The 19,297-nt window shown below is 43.4% G+C and overlaps 1 protein-coding gene across 4 annotated transcripts in view; it reads left to right on the top strand.

Annotated features, from left to right (window-relative positions):
- The window catches only part of SLC9A9 (solute carrier family 9 member A9), a 583,247-nt gene that overhangs the window by 531,883 nt on the left and 32,067 nt on the right, over positions 1 to 19,297 (top strand). The window lies entirely within an intron of this gene.

Below are 19,297 nucleotides of genomic sequence, written 5' to 3'. Positions count from 1 at the left end.
TCATTGTCAGTGCCAACCTAAAGGTATATCCCCAAGGCAATTCACTGCATAGAATATCATTTGCTGGTTGTAACCAACTCTTCTGGGAAGCACCACAATATAGCAGAGATCCTCTTGCCACCAAATTTGTAATATCTGCCAGTCCTATATGCTCCCAGAGCTTCCCATCCAGTCCCTCTCAGCACACTGAGCACAAGAAATCGAAGCTGCCTGTTTACTTTCTCTCTTCCCCAAAATAGGAGCAAGTTTGAGGGCAGAGATTATGCCGTAATTACACTTGTGTCTTCACTGATGGCAAACTCCTTGACATATTTTAAATGTTGGATGGATTCATGACAAAAATGAAAGAAATCCAGCAACCCCCTTTGCCCAAGGGGCCAAATTTATCTCGTGAGTGACAGGTGGTTTCTAATGGCTAAAGATGTGGGAAATGTTTCTGCCTGGGCCGTTTCTTCTGCACATCTTAACCTCCAAGCCCTCCAACTCCCCATCCCTAATGTCCGTCAATTCTGGCTGCGTCAGCCAACTATAATACAACTTGTCTGCTCAGAAATCCAGACACATTATCACAGAACCTTATAGATGTAACTTTGGGCAAGAGGACTTTGGTGTCACCATCTCCCCGCTCTGCTTCCTCTTTTCACCAGCTAAAGATCCTTCCCAGCTGACATTTGGAGAACTTTCTCTCCAGATCAGGCCATGTTTCTTTCTCTGCTCTTCACAGCATAGGGCCATGGGATTGTGTTCGTGCCACCATTCCACAATTAATACACATTTTAGCTTTACCCCAGGGAAGCATTAAACATTGGGTTTATTTTAACTCTGCCCAAGTGGGAGTTCTTCCAATTAAAGAAGATAATGTAAAAACCTAAAATTGGTACAGCCTCTGAGTGAGTATCATTCAATCTCTTTGACCAAAGAACATACAACCCCCTGGGTCTTGATTATCTATGGTTCCTGAGCCATGATCTTGACACATGTTTTTAAATGTAGGAAAGTGACTAAATGGCATCTTCCAGTTCTTGTTGGGAGGGTAGGGATGTTTGGCTAGGACCAGCTACGGACTTATTCTGTGTGGGAAGCAGAAGTGGAAAAATAAGTAGGCCACTGAGTTTTGTTTGGTCATGCCACATAGTAGTACATCAACTCTTGAAGCACAAAGAACACTTTATAAAGCTGAGCTGAACAATATCTGCCCAGATGGAACATGTTGCCGTTAGAGCCCTCACCACCCATCAGCCCTGTCAGGATGAGCCAACTCTATCTCTGCAAAGATCTAATTTTAGAGAGATCAGAGCTTGCTAATGTGTGTCCAGTATAATGGGAATAAAATGTGACTTCCATTAGTTAGATGACCAGAAGATATACTACAACTTGTCTTTACTGGGGCTTATAGCTGAGGTACTTTAAATTTATCCTCAAAAACTGATGTTCTTTGTTTGGTTTACTTCCTGTATCAGATGTTCTAAGACTGCCCAATTGTATGCCATTAAGGATTCTGTAATTTCCTTGAGTATCACACCTTAGGGTTATTTGTTTCTGTGAATTAGACTCAACTCTCTAATGAGACCATTTCAAAAACCAAACAGTATTTTATGTTTTAACTTCCCAGGTGTTGCAGGGCTAATAGATAGAGCACTGTCCAGCAGCCCATCAGTTACTCACTATTGAGTGCAGTGATGGACCAATTCTAAGAGGCTCAAGGGAGGCTCTGAGGTTAATCACCAAGAGTGTGGCTCTTGCCCCAAAGCAGAGCCAGGCTAACCCAGCTGCCTCTGTCTCCGGTGATATTTTTACCTCCAGCTTTGCAGACAGTGCCAGGGCATTTGCCTGGGGCCAGTTAAAATTCGTGACAAGCAGCTAGCAGGGAAGAATTGGGATTCATCCCATCTCTACTGTGTAACCTCGAAGAGGGCTGGCCAGTGGGGAGAGGCAGGGCCAAAGGAGAACTTTTTAGTCATCAGCTGGAGAAACTTCTTTACTTCAGCCAGTTTAGAATGATTTAGAATGATTCGTTTCCATGGAGCTTTGTTTTAAATTCTGAGTTCATTTGTAGCGATACTTGCTAATCAATTTTAAGTGGAAACAGCTGTTCTGTGTCACTCACACAATCCCCTTTCAAGCCCTAGAAAACTATAATTCGAACCATCCTCGTCCCTCCCTTAAACCTACTCGGTATGGCTCTGTCTGCCAGCTTCCTTACCCCACTCTGTGGGACAGGTCAGAGGGAGAAGGGTCAGCACAGTGTGGAGGGAGGATTGTGAGCAGGAAGGAGCACAGGACCCTGACATTTGATGAGATACAGCAGTTTGTGATCCTAGCAGCAAGGAACGTGATCCACATAAGGTATTAATGTTTTTCCTTCCACTGGTCCAATACACATTTACTGAACAGTTAGTAATGTGCTAGCAAAGTGCCATCTGCTAGAGATGGAAAAGAGAAAATGTAGACCCTATTCTCATGGATCCCACAGTCCAATGGGGGAGACAGAGGCTTAAAATCACAATACAGAGAGTTAAGTAGGATGCAGGTGGGCACAGGCACAGTGGGAGCCCAGAGGAGGGTTGCTGAACTCCCTCTCCACCCCGCCCATGCCCTCACATCCGCAGTCCCACAGAGAGGCAGCTATGGGGGGCATGGGCAGCCATGCCTGCACCTGGCCTGATCACTTCCTAGAAATGAGTTCTGCCCATTGTGAAATTGAGGTGAAATATACTCCCCGTCAGCCTCCCTGCTCTGTGCTTCCAATGAGTGGCAGGCCCATTTGCAAAGCCGTCACCCCAACCAGGGCCATTCCCCAGCAGCATCTAGGCAGAGAGGAAGATGCTGCCTGGCCTCTAGCCAGAATGGTGGAAGCAGGGAGACCTGAGTGTTTTCCAAAGCCAAGAGGTCAAAAGATTGTGAACTTTCAGTCCTCCACCGCTCTCGGGACATGGTATTTCTATATGCAGAATGGAAATAAGACTTGGAATATTTAGGGAGGATTCAGGGAGCAAATAGAACTGTTGATATTCTGGCAAGGGATCATAAAGAAATCTTATGACCAAAAAGGCTGTCAGGAGGTGATGGGATTGGGTGGGGTAAGGAGTTGTTTCTGGCCATTGTGGCTGCCAGGAAAGAGCAGGGCTGTAACTTAGATGACTCTGCCAGTCCCAAAACTGGCTGGTCCTGGGTATGTTTTGTGAATTACCTGTAGAGCTATGTTCCTATGGCTATAGAAGAATAAAAAATAAAGTAAAATAAGGCAGGGACATGATTTAATCTGCAGCATGCAACTCTTCCCATCACCGGGTCCCTGCCCTCTGTGAGTGCCTATGTGTCTGAGCACAGCTTTAGAATCTGCAAGACACTGAACTGCAGTTCCTCCACCCACAGCAGACTCAGGCTCTACAACAACCACGGAAGTGGCCACAGCCAAACCTACCTTGAAGGACTCCATGAGGGTTAATTTGATGGTATGAGTGGGAGTCCCTGGCATGGTACTTGTTTTCCACAGTAAAGATAAATTAATTATAGGTACTTTTGTTGAGTTTTTTTTAACTTCCTCAGCCTATGTTCTGTTCTCGTGTAATATTATAGCTTCAAGGTCTCCTAGGAGGAATTAGTTAGCTTTCTTGCCCAAAGAGTGACCTGAAGGAGGATATTTGAAAGGAGAGAAAGTGTCTATCTAAAGAAGAGTATGTTCTTGGGGATGGAAGATTGGGAAATTTACATTGGCGACGTAAAGCGAGGGTTAGAGCTGGTATGCCATCTTGGCCTAAGCAATGGTCAGAGGTATAAGAGACAAAACCTGGGGATGACTTCGGTCCTCAAATGACTGACATGATTAGAAAATAGTGATCAGCTGTGCTGAAGGATGAACAGGTGGTGGCCAAACACTGTGACATGAGGGACTCAGCTTTGAAAATGAGAAGGCTGGGGATGCTACCCTAGGAGAGAGTTGCCTGAAGGAAGGTGTAGAAAATTACTTCTCTGTCAGCTGTGTAAAGCAGGGTAAGTTTTCAGCTACTAGAAAGAAAAGCAGGATGATGGAACAGATGGCTTCACTGGATCCCATCTCACCCTCTGGCCTGGTAAGCCAGTGTCCCACTTGGAAGGGCCATGCCCACTGCTCTGGCGTATGTCATCAAGCAGCTCACCTCCTTCTCTCCTCTGGGACAGGTTCAGAGATAGTCAAAGATTAATGTTTGAGCAGACCAAGCTCTTTCCATATAAGTGCTCATGCTTGCATTAATAGCAAGGCCAGACCTTTGGTAGAGGTGCTTTTGTGACATTGCAATTGAGGGTCAACCATTTAAAAACCACTTGTTTTTCCACCAAAGTTTATTCCTACTCCTTTTGACTTGCTATTGGATTGAGCCTTGTGGCAATACATTTTTAACCTTCCACCTCACACACCAGTTCTTGTTCAGTAAATGACAGAAGTAGGTTATGCCATATCCTCTGACAGTGTGAGAGGGCAACTGATTATTTTCCTGCAGTGTTTTGAATCCCTGTAACTTAAAAAAGATGTAACAGACAAAATTCTCAGCATCCAGGTTTTGTTCTCCATAAAAATCTGAGCTTAATGCTTTGTTTCTCTGTCTAATAGACAAATAGAATGTTTCTATCTCACAAAAATCTAACCCATTTAATCTTTTCCCCATTGGATAGGGAAGTGTAATGGATTTTCAAAATATTTTCTAAGGCTGACCTTAGGAAGTTCTCAGAGAAACTAAAATATGGAATAACAGTCCTCACTTTTCATTCTCATAATGCTCAGGTTGATTTCAGTACACATGAGAGCAAAGTATGTGAGAATCACACACAGAGACAAAAGAACATTCAGAACATAGTTCTTCTCCCCGCCCTTGTCACCATAATTAGATGTGCATCTTGAGAAAACATGCCCTTACAGAGAGGAGAGACGTTTTCACAATATTGTTATTTTATGTAATGAGACCTGACATATCACCTGCTTCTAATACAACTGTACCTGGTCCTAATTCTCCCCATTACTGCTGTTTTGTTCTGTAAGATAAAAAGTGTAGTTACTTAGAGTAGAAGCACCCAACCTGCCCAGGAAGGAAAGCTGCTTTTACCTGGCTCCTAGAGAAGAATTTCTCATGTCCTGGACAACTTGCATTATCATGTTGCAAAAAGAATTTTGAATTGGAATAAGAATGCTGGGTTCAGGCCCCACATCTGCCACTTAATTGTATGCCCTTAAGTCATTCCTTATCTGTTAAAATGGGAACCACATACCTCACAAAACAGATGTTTGGGACACATGAGAATGATGTGTATGAAAAGTCTGGCCAACTGTGAAATCCTATACAAATCCTTCCTTTATTGCTAAAGTATAAACACTCTTACCCAATAGAGAGATGCTGGGCAGCTAAGAGGAGTCCTGGTCGTGGTAGACAAGTCAAGAGCCATTGAGCAAGGGCCAACTGATACACAATGGACTTGCTTTTAAAGAAAAGACCACTATCTCCCATTGACTGTGTGGGCTGAGAAGCCAGTTTTAGTCTTGGTTGACGTGGATGGGAAAGGTTCCCTGGAAATCAAGTTGTTTACAGAGTTCTTCCCTTTTGCAACCTTGGGTAACTTGACCTTTCTGGGCGCCTACTTCCTGACCTCCAAAATGAGAGGCCTGAGGACTTCAGACATCCTCCCAAATAAACAATCCAGTTTGACTCTTAGCTATGAATGATTTTAGACCCAGAATATCTTTCTAGAACTTAAATTTTCCTTCTGATTCTCTGTTCACAAAAATTATGACCACCTGTGCTTATTAGTGTTAATATAATCTCATGAGCATGGGAGAGGCCCCATAAACATAATCTTTTCTGGTTACGGCAGTTCTCATCACTGCCCTCTCTGCACACACAGGATATTTTCTTAGTCCTTCTAGTGTATGCTCCATCTACCTACACATCCTATTCAATGATTGTTCAAAAGTTCTACAAGTAGAGTGCCTCTCTTGTGTAGGAAAGTGGGCAGGAAGCAGAAAGTCTCCATTTCTAAAATTCGTACAAACTTAGATTCTAAATTCGGGCTTTTTTTTTTTTTTTTGATAGAAGACTTTCTGGTTTTGTTTTGTAAAGGCCACACCACGCCTGCATTTCGCTTTGTGCACTTTAGCTCTCATGTTGGTCTGACACCAGTTGAAAATTCATAGCAGCCCCAGATTTACGTGACTTTCTTCTAGAAAGGAGATTATTACCCAGCCTTATGGAGAAGGAAGAAAGTGTGCACTGGAAACTGTTCTTAGTTTACAAAGCTCACTTGCAGGCAGGCTCAAACTAGTTGGAAAATCGTAGTCCTTTCAAATGTGAGCCTTTAGTCTTCCTTTGTAGCTGCTTGAAAATGGAGAAAATGGCATGTTGCTCTAGATGCCAATGAATGATGAGGGGAGCCCCAAAAAATCCTTTCCAGTTGACTCTACAGCCTCTGTCAGTTCAGCAGCACTGCAGCAGGAGAAGGCTGGCTTAAACTAAGAGCAAGCCTAAAAATTATAAAATCACAGTCTTACTCCCAAGTAAGCAACACATGTTTTGGCTGGTCCTGAGCCAGTTCATGTGAAAAGTGCAAACTTAAATTAAAAAATAAATCACTTAAAAAGTGAGCCAGATCCATTGCCCAGTCAGAGCTCCATGAGTGAAAACAGCAACATAGACGAGGGTGGTTTTTAGGAAGCAACAGGATTTCATGGGACAGAGACTTTTTTTTTCCCTCTCACTCTCACCCTTGGGAAAAGCTCAAAATTTCCAACCACCAGGCACATAACCAGATGCCCCATGGAGAGACCTAGTGGGAATTCACGTGGACCAGACCCAGGGAATTGCTGAGAACATTTCTTCCTTCTTTCCAACCTTTTCTTTTAAGGGAATGACTAGATATCCCCACAAGACCACTTGAGATACAGGGAAACAAAAGGTTAAGAAAATGCCCCTTTAAAGGAACATCTGCGAATTCACCCTAGAGTACAGAAACATGAGAAGAAAGGGTCTGGAAATCCTACACTCAACTAGGAAGAGAGGAAACCCTTATCCTTGCTAAATAAAAACTACTGAGAAATCATGAAACCAAGCCTGAGTCAGGTGTCCAGGGTTTGAGAAAAATGGAGACATACTTGGAAAAAAATCATCTGGTGACCCCAAATGAACCTTTTTTTTTTTTTTTTGCTTTTCTGTTTATTTTTATGATAAATTACTCAAAGAATAATTGCAAAGCACAATCATAAAGGTACGCTGTGGTGTTTCCTTAGCCAAGAAAGAAATAATGTAATACTGTGGAGGACCTGGCTTTGATTCCTACCATCTGCCTATCCCATTATATGACCCTAGGCAAGTCATTCCACCTTCCCAAGCCTCAGACTGTTCATGTGTAAGGAGGGTTTACCTTTGAATTAGAGGAACTTTAGAAATAATCTAAGAATCCTTGATTTATGTATTTAGGGTTGGAAGTAGAGACTCTTTGATATGAATGGAACTTGAGGTCCAAATAGAATCTTAGCAAGCCTAGGGAGGAAGAAGCTGCTTTGAAAAGAACATGAAGACCTTGCTCATGTGTATAAATGTCACGGAGTTGGCTGAAATAGACTTAGAGCTGGTAAGCTCTTTAGAGATTTCCTGCAATCTCCATGTTTTATGGGGGGAAAACTGAGCCTAAGAGAAGCTGAAGTGACTTACAAAAGATCACCAGATACACTTCAGTGTCAAAGTAAAAATTCAGGTGTCTTTCTGGAAGAGGCCAAGCAAGCCAGGGGAAGCCAGGCCAAACCTCAGAAATAATCCCCACCACCAGTATACTGAACGTTTACCCTGGGCCAGGCACTGTGCTCAGTGCTATTGATGATTTGGCCATTTAACCCCCAGAACTCAATTATGGGTATTATTATCACCATGGCGAGCTTCACAGTCATGAGTCTTGAGCAGTTACCTAGAGACCCCCATTCAGAAGGGCCCCATGCTTAGTTTAATGCTCTGTGGCCACCATCTTGAAATCCTTAATTTTTTTTTTTTTGAGACAGAGTCTCGCTCTGTCGCCCAGGCTGGAGTGCAGTGGTGCGATCTCGGCTCACTGCAAGCTCCACCTCCTGGGTTCATGCCATTCTCCTGCCTCAGCCTCCCAAGTAGCTGGGACTACAGGTGCCCGCCACCATGCCCGGCTAATTTTTTGTATTTTTAGTAGAGACGGGGTTTCACCGTGTTAGCCAGGATGGTCTCGATCTCCTGGCCTCGTGATCCGCCCGCCTCGGCCTCCCAAAGTGCTAGGATTACAGGCGTGAGCCACCACGCCTGGCTGAAATCCTTAATTTTTAAACAAGGGGTCCCCATTTTCATTTTTCACTGACCCCTATAAATTATGTAGCTGATTCTCATCTCCATTTTATATACGTGTCAATAGAGGCCTAGAAAGTTAAATTGCTCATTCTTGGTCCCAGCCACTCACCAAAATGGAGATACAGAAACAGAATCAGTGGTCAGGGTGAAGGTGGAGGCAGACACACTGCTCAGCTACCATAGTGGTTAAGTGGATGCTGTGGTTTCAAAACCCCTTTGGGATTTCCCTTCTTCTGATGGCCTCATGCCTGTGTGCTCATGGGTCACATGGCAAAGTAGAGTGATCAACCATCCAGGTTTTTCCAGGATTGTAGAGAATCCTGGGAATCCCCTTTCAGTGGTAAAGTCAGGAAAGTTCCTAGCAAACTGGGTTGATTTGGTTAGCCTACTGCTGAGTCACAGGCATGGGGCTGGAGGCTTCTTAGTCTTATCTGTTTTCCATGTCCTGTATCTAGTGGGTTGCATGTAGGTCCTTAAAGGCAGGGCTCACCCAGAGGTCAGGCTGGAGACCTTGATCCAGGAAGAAAGTGGGTAAGCAGCCAACTGGCTATCATTGCAAGGCTGAGGACCAGGAAACAGAGGCCAGAGGGACCAGTCAGCCTGGGAACAGAAAGGCTGCAGGGCCTATTCAGAGACCGAAGCCAGGCTAGAGAAAATGTGGGTGCAGACAGACAACAGCAGAAAGCAATAGGCAGAGGCAAAGACCCAGCCTGCAGGCTCAAGGCATCTACAGCTTACTCTGTGACCTAGGCAAGTTACTACACTTTGCGAGCCTAAATGTACTCATTTGAAAAATAAGAATTGCATTAAGATCATTGTCAAGAGATCATATGTGCAGAATTCAGTATGGCCATGTCAATTTCTGTTTAAATCCATAAATATTTACAGAGGTCTATTATAAGCCAGTCACTGTGGGACAGATTAGAGATACCTCCTGCTCTCATGGGATTAACCAGTGGTGTGCTGGTAAGTGTTTAACAACCATCTATTTGGAGAAAAAGTAAGAACTGCTTTGTAGCATATGCCAGTTTCCATGGTATAAACATTGCCCCCATAGCTAATATCAATCTGCCAACATAGAGGCACCGAATACAGTATTGGGATGAGTTGTACATCATCTTCTCTGCAGAGCCTAAACCAGGCAATCACTGAGCTAACCCTCTATTAGAAAGAACAGACAAACTATGGCACCATAAGTTTCATAGACAAGGACACAGAGAGAAAAACAGAGCAATGTGTCTCGGACAGAGAGTGGGGAGGACCTCCCTGAGAAAGTGAGATTTTCACTGAGACCTGAAGGATGCATATACAAACTACAGTAAGGAAATAGCATGTGTACAGGCCAGGAGGAAAGAAAGAAGAGAAAAGCATGTTTGAGAAAAGCCTAGAACAGGGAAAGACAGGGCTGAGAAGAGAAAATACCAGAGAGTGTAGGAGTGAGTTTGCCATATTCTAGAGTTGCATTTTCTGCTAAGGAAGCCATAGGCATATCTATTTTTTAGAACCATCACTCTGACTGAAATGTGGAGAATGTGTTGAGGGACAAGAGGGCAAGCGGGGAGATCAGGTGATGGCAGGATTCCAAGCAGGAGGTGCTGCTGACCTGGGTCAGGTTTTATGTATTTGTTTAACAGGCATTTATTGAGCTTGTGTCATGTACCTATCACTGTGCCAGGCCCTGGTGATTCATCAAAAAGAACATTGTCCTAGCCTTCATGGAGCTTACAGGCAAGACATGTTTTTAAAGATATAAGAATAAACTCAAGTGCTTACTACATGCCAGGCACAGTACTTAACACTTTGCATGCATTATCTCATTTAATTCTCCCAGCAGTTCTAGAGGATAGATTCAAATGTTACCTTTGGTTGAGACAGTAGGTGGAAAACTGAAAGCAGACAGGTTCACAGTACAGGCATCTGCCCTGGCTTTCAGTGCTTTCTATGAGGCGAGCCTGTGGTGGCAGGAAGGTGTGTGGATTTGAGAATAAGGGCAGAAAGGGCCAGGTCCTCTGGGGAGGCCTCAACCTTCTGCCAACAAACCTCTGCTTTCCTGTCCAGTGCCCCCATTATGTTCCCCACTGCCTCCCTGATGGTGCATTAGCATTGTACCAGTCCAGGAAGAAAGGTTAGATTAGAACGATAAGGAGAATAATGTTCATATTTGTCAGTCTCACATTTTAGAGGGTTTTTTTTTTAAAGAAATTCCATTTTTATGATTTTTCAGGTCATACAAGGGGGAAAAAATCAAATGTTCATAATCTGCTTAAACTGTCAATTAGAATATCCCGCAAGGAAATTGTTAGACCGTTTTGTCCATTGGCAAATAAATACAAATTTGATGAATAGCAAGCATTCTTTTCCATCACTTGACAGCTGAGAAATTGAGACAAGCCAGGAAAGAAGCTGAGGAGACAGTTCTGTAACTCAAGCCGTGTTTCCAGCCAGCCCACTTCTGGCCAAAGACACACCCCTTGTTATCTTCAGTCATTTCTTTTTTAATGAGGTGATGGGCAGTTAGTTTTGGTGAGGGGCTTTAAATAGAATTGATCTTCATTAAACAGATCTGTCAAATCTGCCAAAAGACTTCCTTGAGACCATTCCACATGATAGTATTTGTGTTTTCATAGGCAGCCTCTTCTGTAGACTCTCTCTTCCTGTCAACTCACTTCCAGCACAGCATCCCTGTATAAAGACGTTGAAACCCCAGTGGTTGTGAATTTTTAACAAAGCAACAATATTGCCTTTGGGACTTTAAGGTCAGAGAGACCTAGTTCAAATCCTCAAGTCCTAGTTGCCACCACTTATGAACTGTGTGACTCTGGGACATTTCCTTCTCTGTGCCTGTTCCTCAGCTATGAAACGGTATCATCTACCTTCTATCACTGTCAAGGAGAATGAATGTGGTAGCGAACATCAAGGGCTTAGCACTCAGCATGTCCATTCCCATCAGCAGCAGCTGATCTAACCAAGTGACTGCGATTCAGTGAGGGGGTTAAGAGGAGGGAACACGAGTCACCTGCTAGAACATAACGAAGAAATGCTTAATACAGCTTCTCGAAAAGTTGCCCTCAACCCTCCCTTTCTCAGCCTACCCAGATGCCCCATATCAGTTGGCATTTAAGATTCTTGAGCAAACAGATATTGATATAGAAGTTGTGATTTTGCCTTATCACTCCCTTAGTAGATGGAAGGGAATCATTTTCTCAATCCCAGAAATTAATAATAATGTTGATATCTGGTTCACGTTCAGATATCAGAATATAAAAGTACTCTCCAGAGTTATTATTCATAGACCCAAATTAATTGTTGACCCTGAGTTATAAACACCAGCAGGAGGAGCTAGGCTGCAGAAAAGTGTATAGGGGTGCTGAGCCCTAAGGGTGGTGGTGCTCATCACCTGGGCTTGCAGGTAAACAGAGCCATGTGTCAAGACTGAAGCATTTAATACCACTGGACTTAAGTCGTAATAGGAAATGGGAGGGTGTTAAACCAGCCTTTAGGAAAACTAATACAAGATGGATTTTGAATGTCTGAGGGAACATTTTTGGAAGAGTCATTATTAAACTTCAAAGAGAATCAGCCTTATCAGCAGTGATAATAGAAATATATTGGCTTTTCTGAAGATAGATCTTGGGTGTCTCGTTTATGAGCCAGCCATGGCTGGACTTTTATCAAGTCTGTCAACTCGAAACCAAGTTCTTAACCCAAGGCCTGAATGCTGCCAAGATGAAGCCATGTCTGAACAAGGCAATAACATCCCCTCTTATTCCAAAGTGCCTCTCTTGTAAAACTCAAACTTATCAAGAGGCTTTGGATTCCTCTCTCAGTTCCTTGTCTTAACAGGGGAATACATCCCATGTCTAACCAGAATGTTTGTTGCTTCTGGAGTCAAACATATGCGCCTCCTAGGCACAGCCATTAACGTGGGTGTTTCTTGGATGGCTCAGACAACCAGAGTTTGGATTTTAATGGCTCTTTTCACCTCTCTTCTCCCTGAGGCCATCTATCTAGGAGAAATCTCACCTATGTATGAGAGGCAGAAAAAGGAGAAATACTGAAATAATTGCATTTTTATCATAAGCAGACCTATTATGAAGTTATGTGGCAGGAAGAGACCCAAAACAATGGATACAATTTGACTTATCCACCATTCCAGTGGGTGACTAAGAAGTGACTCTAGTTGCCATCTTCCCACAAAGGTCTAAGAGACCTCTTCATCCTCTTTCCCCCATTCAGTATATATATGTTTTCTGGAAATCTGTGCCAGTAAATGTCCAGTGGAGTATTTTGGTTTTGCTTTCTAAAGACTAACCTGGAATGAATAAAGTTCCTCTGTTAAGAAATGGAGAAAACAGATGTTTTAAGTCATCTTTTTAGGGGACCAAGGGCAGTGCCTCTGCCGGCCTGAATCTAAGTCTTTTTTGGCTTTTGGGAGGAGTCAAATGGGCCTGGCAAGTTTTGCAAGGGAAATCTCAGAGGTCATCCAGACCTGAAGTGTAGGTAAGGAGACCCTGGTTTAGCACAAGGTGGAGTCAAGTTCTAGTTCCGCTATTAAGTGTGTCACATGAAGCAGGTCACTTATAAATACCTCTCTGAGGTTTAGTATGCTCATATGTAAAAAGCAAATAATATCTTTCCAAAGTAATCATCCTCAAATGCAAGTCTCACTGTGTCTTTCCCTTGCTTAAAACCAGACACCTGGCCCTTCCTACCTAGTCTAACCTCATTCTCATCACTTAGTCCTCCTCTTGCTGCCTCTCATGCAAGAACACACCAGCAATATTGGATAGCATGCTGTTTCACACCTCTGCTCCTTTGCACATGCTGTTCCAGCCCCCAAGAGGCCTTGCCTCCTTCCCTCCTTCCCTCAAAAAAAAAAAAAGAAAAGAAAAAGAAAAAAACCCACCTGGAACAGGAAAAACATTTGTTCCCCTTTGGAAACTCAGTTCAGATATCACTTTCTATTTGAAACTTTCCCTGAACACTCCTCTACACACCCCTCCCCAGCCCCAACACAAACACACAGCTACTTCTTTGAGTCTCAGACTGTGCCTTGTTCTCATCTGCCCATGATCCAGGTGGGCCTCTCTAATTTGTACAAAGGCTGTGACTAGGCTGGCAGTGGCCCTGGAGGAGTAAGAGTCTTTGGGGACAGGAAAGCAGCCAGAGCGTGTGTGTCACACTGGAAGTCCGGAAGGGAAATGCCTGGAGAGCCAGTTGTCCCTCTGCAGGGGAAGGGCACGATGTGGAGAGGGCGGGCAGGGAAGGCTGCCAAGAAGCCCTCCGTGGTGTTAGAAGTGCATGTCTGGGGCTTAACTGAGATGGACTTGTAACGTGGGAGGGACTCCACACTCTTGTGGAGGATAATTGAGAACAAGGAGGATTATGCAATTTGAAAACATCGAATTCCAGAAAACGTGATGATTCTTGACAGTGACCCACTTCACTTGTACCCATCTGGCTTTATCCTCCAGTTCTGCCTGTCTTGAGCCTGAGTCACTCCTCGTCAAACGCAGTCATTCTGTCTGTTCCCAGTAAGGAATAAGACCAAACCTGCTGGCTGGTTGGAGGATCTGTCCTTTCTGCCAGCTCTCCCTCTCGCCATCTTCCTGGCTCTTTACTGCTTTCCTCTGTCCCTCCATCACTGCTCTTATTTCCTTCCCTCCTGCTATTTTTCCTTCTTATCTGGCTGTTTCAGGGGCTCTCTCCTCCTCCCCGCCACTCCACACAAACCTCATTCAGGACTCCCAGCCTTTCCTGCATCTCCTTTCTTGGGCTTTTTCAGCCCTTTAATTCATTCCTCTTAATATTTATTAATACAAACACCTCATTTTCACCTTCAATGTTTTTTTCTTTCTATTTTCTGGCATCTTTTGGTTCTTCTCTGCTACCCGATTTTCCATCTTTTTAGACAAGCATTCATTAAGCACCTACTGTATTCTGGGCAGTATGCTGAGTGCTAGTGAAGAAAAGATGTATAAGCCTATTGCCTGTATATACTAGGGCAATCATCCAGAGGAAATGGGGGCTGATGCCTCCAGCATCCCCCACCCACCATAGCTTTAATGCTCAAGGCAACGTGCTCCTCATCCTCTGCATCACAATCCAGAGTTGCAAAAGATTCCTGGCCCGCTGTGACAAAGGTGGGACAACACTGTCTTAAAGCCCCTAGCAGAGGTGCCAGGTAAGATATACCAGGCCAGCAGCTAGCAACACCTCTCTCCCCAACCCTCTCACTCTTCCTAGGGTGAAGGAGGACAAGTTGAGATAATGAGGATTCTGAACCTCTTTTATTTCCACTCTGCAGTTCTGCAAGGGTTGGCCCCTCCTGGTTTCATAAAAAACACCTCCACTGACATTAAGAGTGGCTTGAAAATTAACATATACAACTAGTATTTTGCACACCAGAAAAAGAAAGCTTTTCAGCTTTGGGTGGGCTTAGAAATGTGGTTGGGAAGACACTAACTGAAAAACACCAAGGGAAAGCGGAACACTCTAGGACAGTGGTTCTCACACTTTGGTCAGTGTCAGAATCACTAGGGGAAGCTGCAAAAACACAGGGACTGTGCCCTATACTACTTCAAAGGCCTGAGTCACTGTGGGCTCCACTAGATCCCCAGGTGATTCTGATACACACCAACATTTAAGGACTGCTGCTGGAGAATGCGTCTGTCTCATCTTCTGCAGAGGATGGCCCTAACACCCAGCTATTCCATTCTACTCTTGCCTACTGAAGGCTTTTTGTCTGCATGACCTCCACCCTCAAGTATAGGTGGACTTTTCCACTAGAGGGCCAAGAAAAAGGCTAATCCTGCAAGGCCAATCTTCATGCCACAGCTTTTAAAAAATCATTTCCGCCCTCTTGCTGATTTCTCTGCAGCTCTGGGGTGCATTAAACTTAAACTATGTGTGAATAGAAGAGGAAGCAGTTGGTACTATTAAAAGAGGGAGAGAGATAGAAGACTATAGTTTGAATATTACCAACTTCCAAGACTTACAAAGTATGCATTTTGCGCAAATGTCAAAATTTAGTAAGCAAATCAGAACAATTTGGGAGATGGGCAGCAGGAGTGATTTTAAAGCTGCATCTGACCATACACACATCCTGTGGCCGTTCTGCAGGATTAGCCAAGTTTTGCAAATGAGAAAATATGGAAACATACACATGAAAAGATTTCCCAAGGTCATGGTGAAGGTGGTAGTGGTGAGGATTAGGGGCTGAATGCTGTTTCTCCTGGGCCTATTTCTGAGCTACTGGACCACAAAGCTTCCTGAATGCAGATGTTAAACAGGTTTTTGCCTTTAAAATAAAGGTTTAAAAGGTTCTTATTTTGGCCATAGTTCAGTGCAAATCTGCAAATCTCCTAGGGAAAAGGGGACCTATTTGAAGGGAAATTAATTACTTCCAGCTTCTGGAACACAAATCAATTCAACTTTTCCCTGTGTTTTACTAAAGAGTGCTTTAAAGAGTGGTACTCCAACTTGGCTGCTGAGAAACTTTTAAAAAACCTGATGCTCAGGCCTCACCCTGTACCAAATCAGACTCCGGGCTTTTAAAAGTTCCCTCCAAAGATTCTGATGTACAATAGAGTTTAAGAGCCATTGCTCAAAGCATAGCCTTACTCATAGCATAGCTCTGTGGATCAGGAGCATAGGCATCACCTGAGAGCTGCTTAGAAATGCAGAATCTCAGGCCCCACCCCAGGCCTACTGAATCAGAATCTGCATTTTATTATAACAACATCCCCAGGCATCTGAATGCATTTTAAACATTGAGAAGCACTCCTTTAAAGCACTCCTCACTCCCCCTAAAAAAGTTTATACATTTCCAAACACTGAAGAGGTTTATCTGCTTCTTCCAATGAGGTGCAGAATGGGCAGGAGGGCAAATCACAGAATTTTAGAAGTAGAAATAAAAACAGCTAATAAGAATTAATATGCATGTCAAGTGCTCTACATGCATTCTCTCTTGATATTCACCACAACCCTATGATAGAGGTGCAAATACTCTGTCCCTTTTCACAGATGACCAAACTGAGGCTCAGACCTAGGTGAAACAGCTAAAATACCACCTGGAGAGGCAAAGTGAGGACTTACACTAATGCTTCCAGGACTTAAAAGCACACGCTTTTAACCACTCAGTCAGACTTTCTCAACCTGTGTGCCAAACATTCCAAATGGGCTACAAGTGCCAAGACATTTGTTCCCCTCAGCCCTCACATAGAGTCTGGGATGGCCACCCACTATAGAGAAAAGATTAGCGATCTCTGCTCTAAATTATGCTTTTTCCAAATCATACATTTTGCCAATTGTTGGACAAAAGAGAAACTGTGTCTTCTAAAGTTTAAGTGACCTACCTGAGGTCATCTAGCTCTTTAAAGCCAGGATAAGGCTCAGAACCCAGGGGTCCCAACTGCCTGCATGCCTCCTCCCACTAAGCAGTGGTTCCAAAGTATGGGCCCATAACCAGGAGCTTTGTATCATCTGGAAACTTGTAAGGAATAAAAATGTGTGGCAGGACGTGGTGGCTCACGCCTGTAATCCCAGCACTTTGGGAGGCCAAGGCAGGCGGATCAAGAGGTCAGGAGATCGAGACCATCCTGGCTAACACGGTGAAACCCCATCTCTACTAAAAATACAAAAAATTAGCCAGATGAGGTGGCAGGCACCTGTAGTCCCAGCTACTGGGGAGGCTGAGGCAGGAGAATGGCATGAACCCAGGAGGCGGAGGTTGCAGTGAGCCAAGAAAACACCACTGCACTCCAACCTGGGCGACAGAGCAAGACTCCAACTCAAAAAAAAAAAAAATGTGTAGGTCCCCCCAACAAGCTTTTTAACAAGCTCTCCAAGTGAATCTGATGGTTGCCAGTTTGAGAACCAGTCCATTAAAGCAAGCAGCCCCAGATGGCCCTGCGCTTGCTCAGAGCTCCTATACAGAGCTGCTCTGCAAATAAAGGTTTCTTAAGGGGCTTAGCTTTGAACTAAGCTGAAATTTACATGCTGGTTTTAATCTTCTTAGGGCCTTTTTTTTTACCCTTTAGGAAAGAGCTGTAATGTTCTGGGAAGAAGAAAGTAAATGATGGCTAACAGATAAAATTTTAAATGCTCTTTCCACATTTTCAACCCACTTCCTGCTTGGGCAGTAAAAATGTGAACATCAGAAAGAGAAAGGAGAACTGACATTTCTTGAGCACCCACTGTATGCCAGGAACCGAGCATACAATAATACAGGCGTACATACCTTGTTCACCCATCACTGCATTTAATACAATGATCTCTGAGAAGTGAGGAAACTAAGACCCAGGAAGATGAAATGACTTGAATAAGATCACAAACTCAATGGTGGCCTCAGGATTTGTTCCATAGCCTGTACACCTACATTCTTTTCCCTCCAGCAGAAAAGGTAAAAAGTTTAAGACACATACTATCTAGAATGATTGGATTCCAGAAATCCCAGAGCAAGCTTTCATAAGAGATCTGCCTACTCAAAGCCCCAGGGATGCCTAACTCAATAATCTTCTTTGTCTTTGGGAAAGGTCCTGTGCTGTTATGTTCTGTGTTCTCACTTCACTGTGGAAGCTGCTCTCAAAGTATAAGAATAGACCAGCCATGAAAAGTGAAATAGTTCAGCTATACTTGAGCATCCTGAAACACTTAGAAATCTATTCTTAACCAGCAGCATCTGTTCCAAGGCAGCAGGTCTAGCATTGCCAATGCCCTACTGAGCAGCCTTGAGCTTTGGTTTTTAGAAGACTAGGGAATGTATTTGCCACACCTCAGACTTGGGAAATGAAGATAGTACTAGTGAGCCACATCCTCCCCAGTAAGAGCTTGTGTTCATGCCACTAAATGCATCAAGGCTCTGGACTATGATCCAACAAGGAGAACAAAACGGTCACTGGCTCACTCAATCATAGGCAGAGATGGACACCTGGTTGAGGTTCTACATGGGCTAGGTTGCAGATCTATATGGGCTTCCTTCCCTGTCTGTGTGCCCCAGTACAACCTCTAAACACCCAATTCCCAATCACCATCTTCATCCACGGAATGGATACACAGTGGCTAACCTGAACATCAACGTGGGGGGAAGCCCTTCCACTAGTTCCAAATGGCTAAACCTAATGTAGAACTCAACAGGGAAAGTAAAAATCTTGTCTTAGCCTTTCTCATTCATGCAATAAAAAAGCCATTCTTTGCCTTGACAAAATGCAACTCAGTTTTTCTGTAAGGGCCTCCATGGGTGATTTTTTTCCCTCTTGTTTGAGGTTAAGTTAGGCCTGAGATTCCTTGCAAACCTGCATCCAACCCAACGGTTACCATTTACTTGTCACTACTAGGATTCCAAGGTCTACTCCCACTGCTTTTTCCAGGCACATACATCACAATCATGGCTGACTCTTAAAGTCAAGAAGGAATTCAATAAAGTTACAGGATATAAAAATCAGTTGTGTTTCTATACGACAACAAAATAGACAAAAAGAAAATTAATTTCATTTATAATGGCATCAAAAAATACTTAGGCATAAACTTAAACAAGCAGGTGAAAGATTTATACATTGAAAACTATAAAACGTTGATGAAAGAAATTAAAAGACACAAATGGAAACACATGCTGTGTTTATGAATTAGAAGACTTAATATTGCTAATATGTCCATACTAGCAAAGTAAAATTCCAACGGCATTTTTTACAAAAATAGAAAAGGCAATCCCAAAATTCATATGGAACCACAAAAGACCAAGAATAGCCAAAGCTATCTGGAGGAAAAAGAAAAAAACTGGAGACATCACACTTCCTGATTTCAAATTATACTACAAAGCTAGAGCAATTAAGACAGTATGATGCTGGCATAAAAATAGACAAACAAATGGACCAAAATAGAGAGCTTCTGCTCCGTTGGCCTATATGTTTTCACACAAGAAAACCATGTATATACAGTCAACTAATCTCTGACAATTGTGCCAAAAC

This window comes from Homo sapiens, chromosome 3 (genome assembly GCF_000001405.40).
Source record: "Homo sapiens chromosome 3, GRCh38.p14 Primary Assembly".
NCBI lineage: Eukaryota > Metazoa > Chordata > Mammalia > Primates > Hominidae > Homo > Homo sapiens.
Note: the sequence above shows the minus strand (reverse complement) of the source record. Positions and strands in the feature narration are given on the sequence as shown.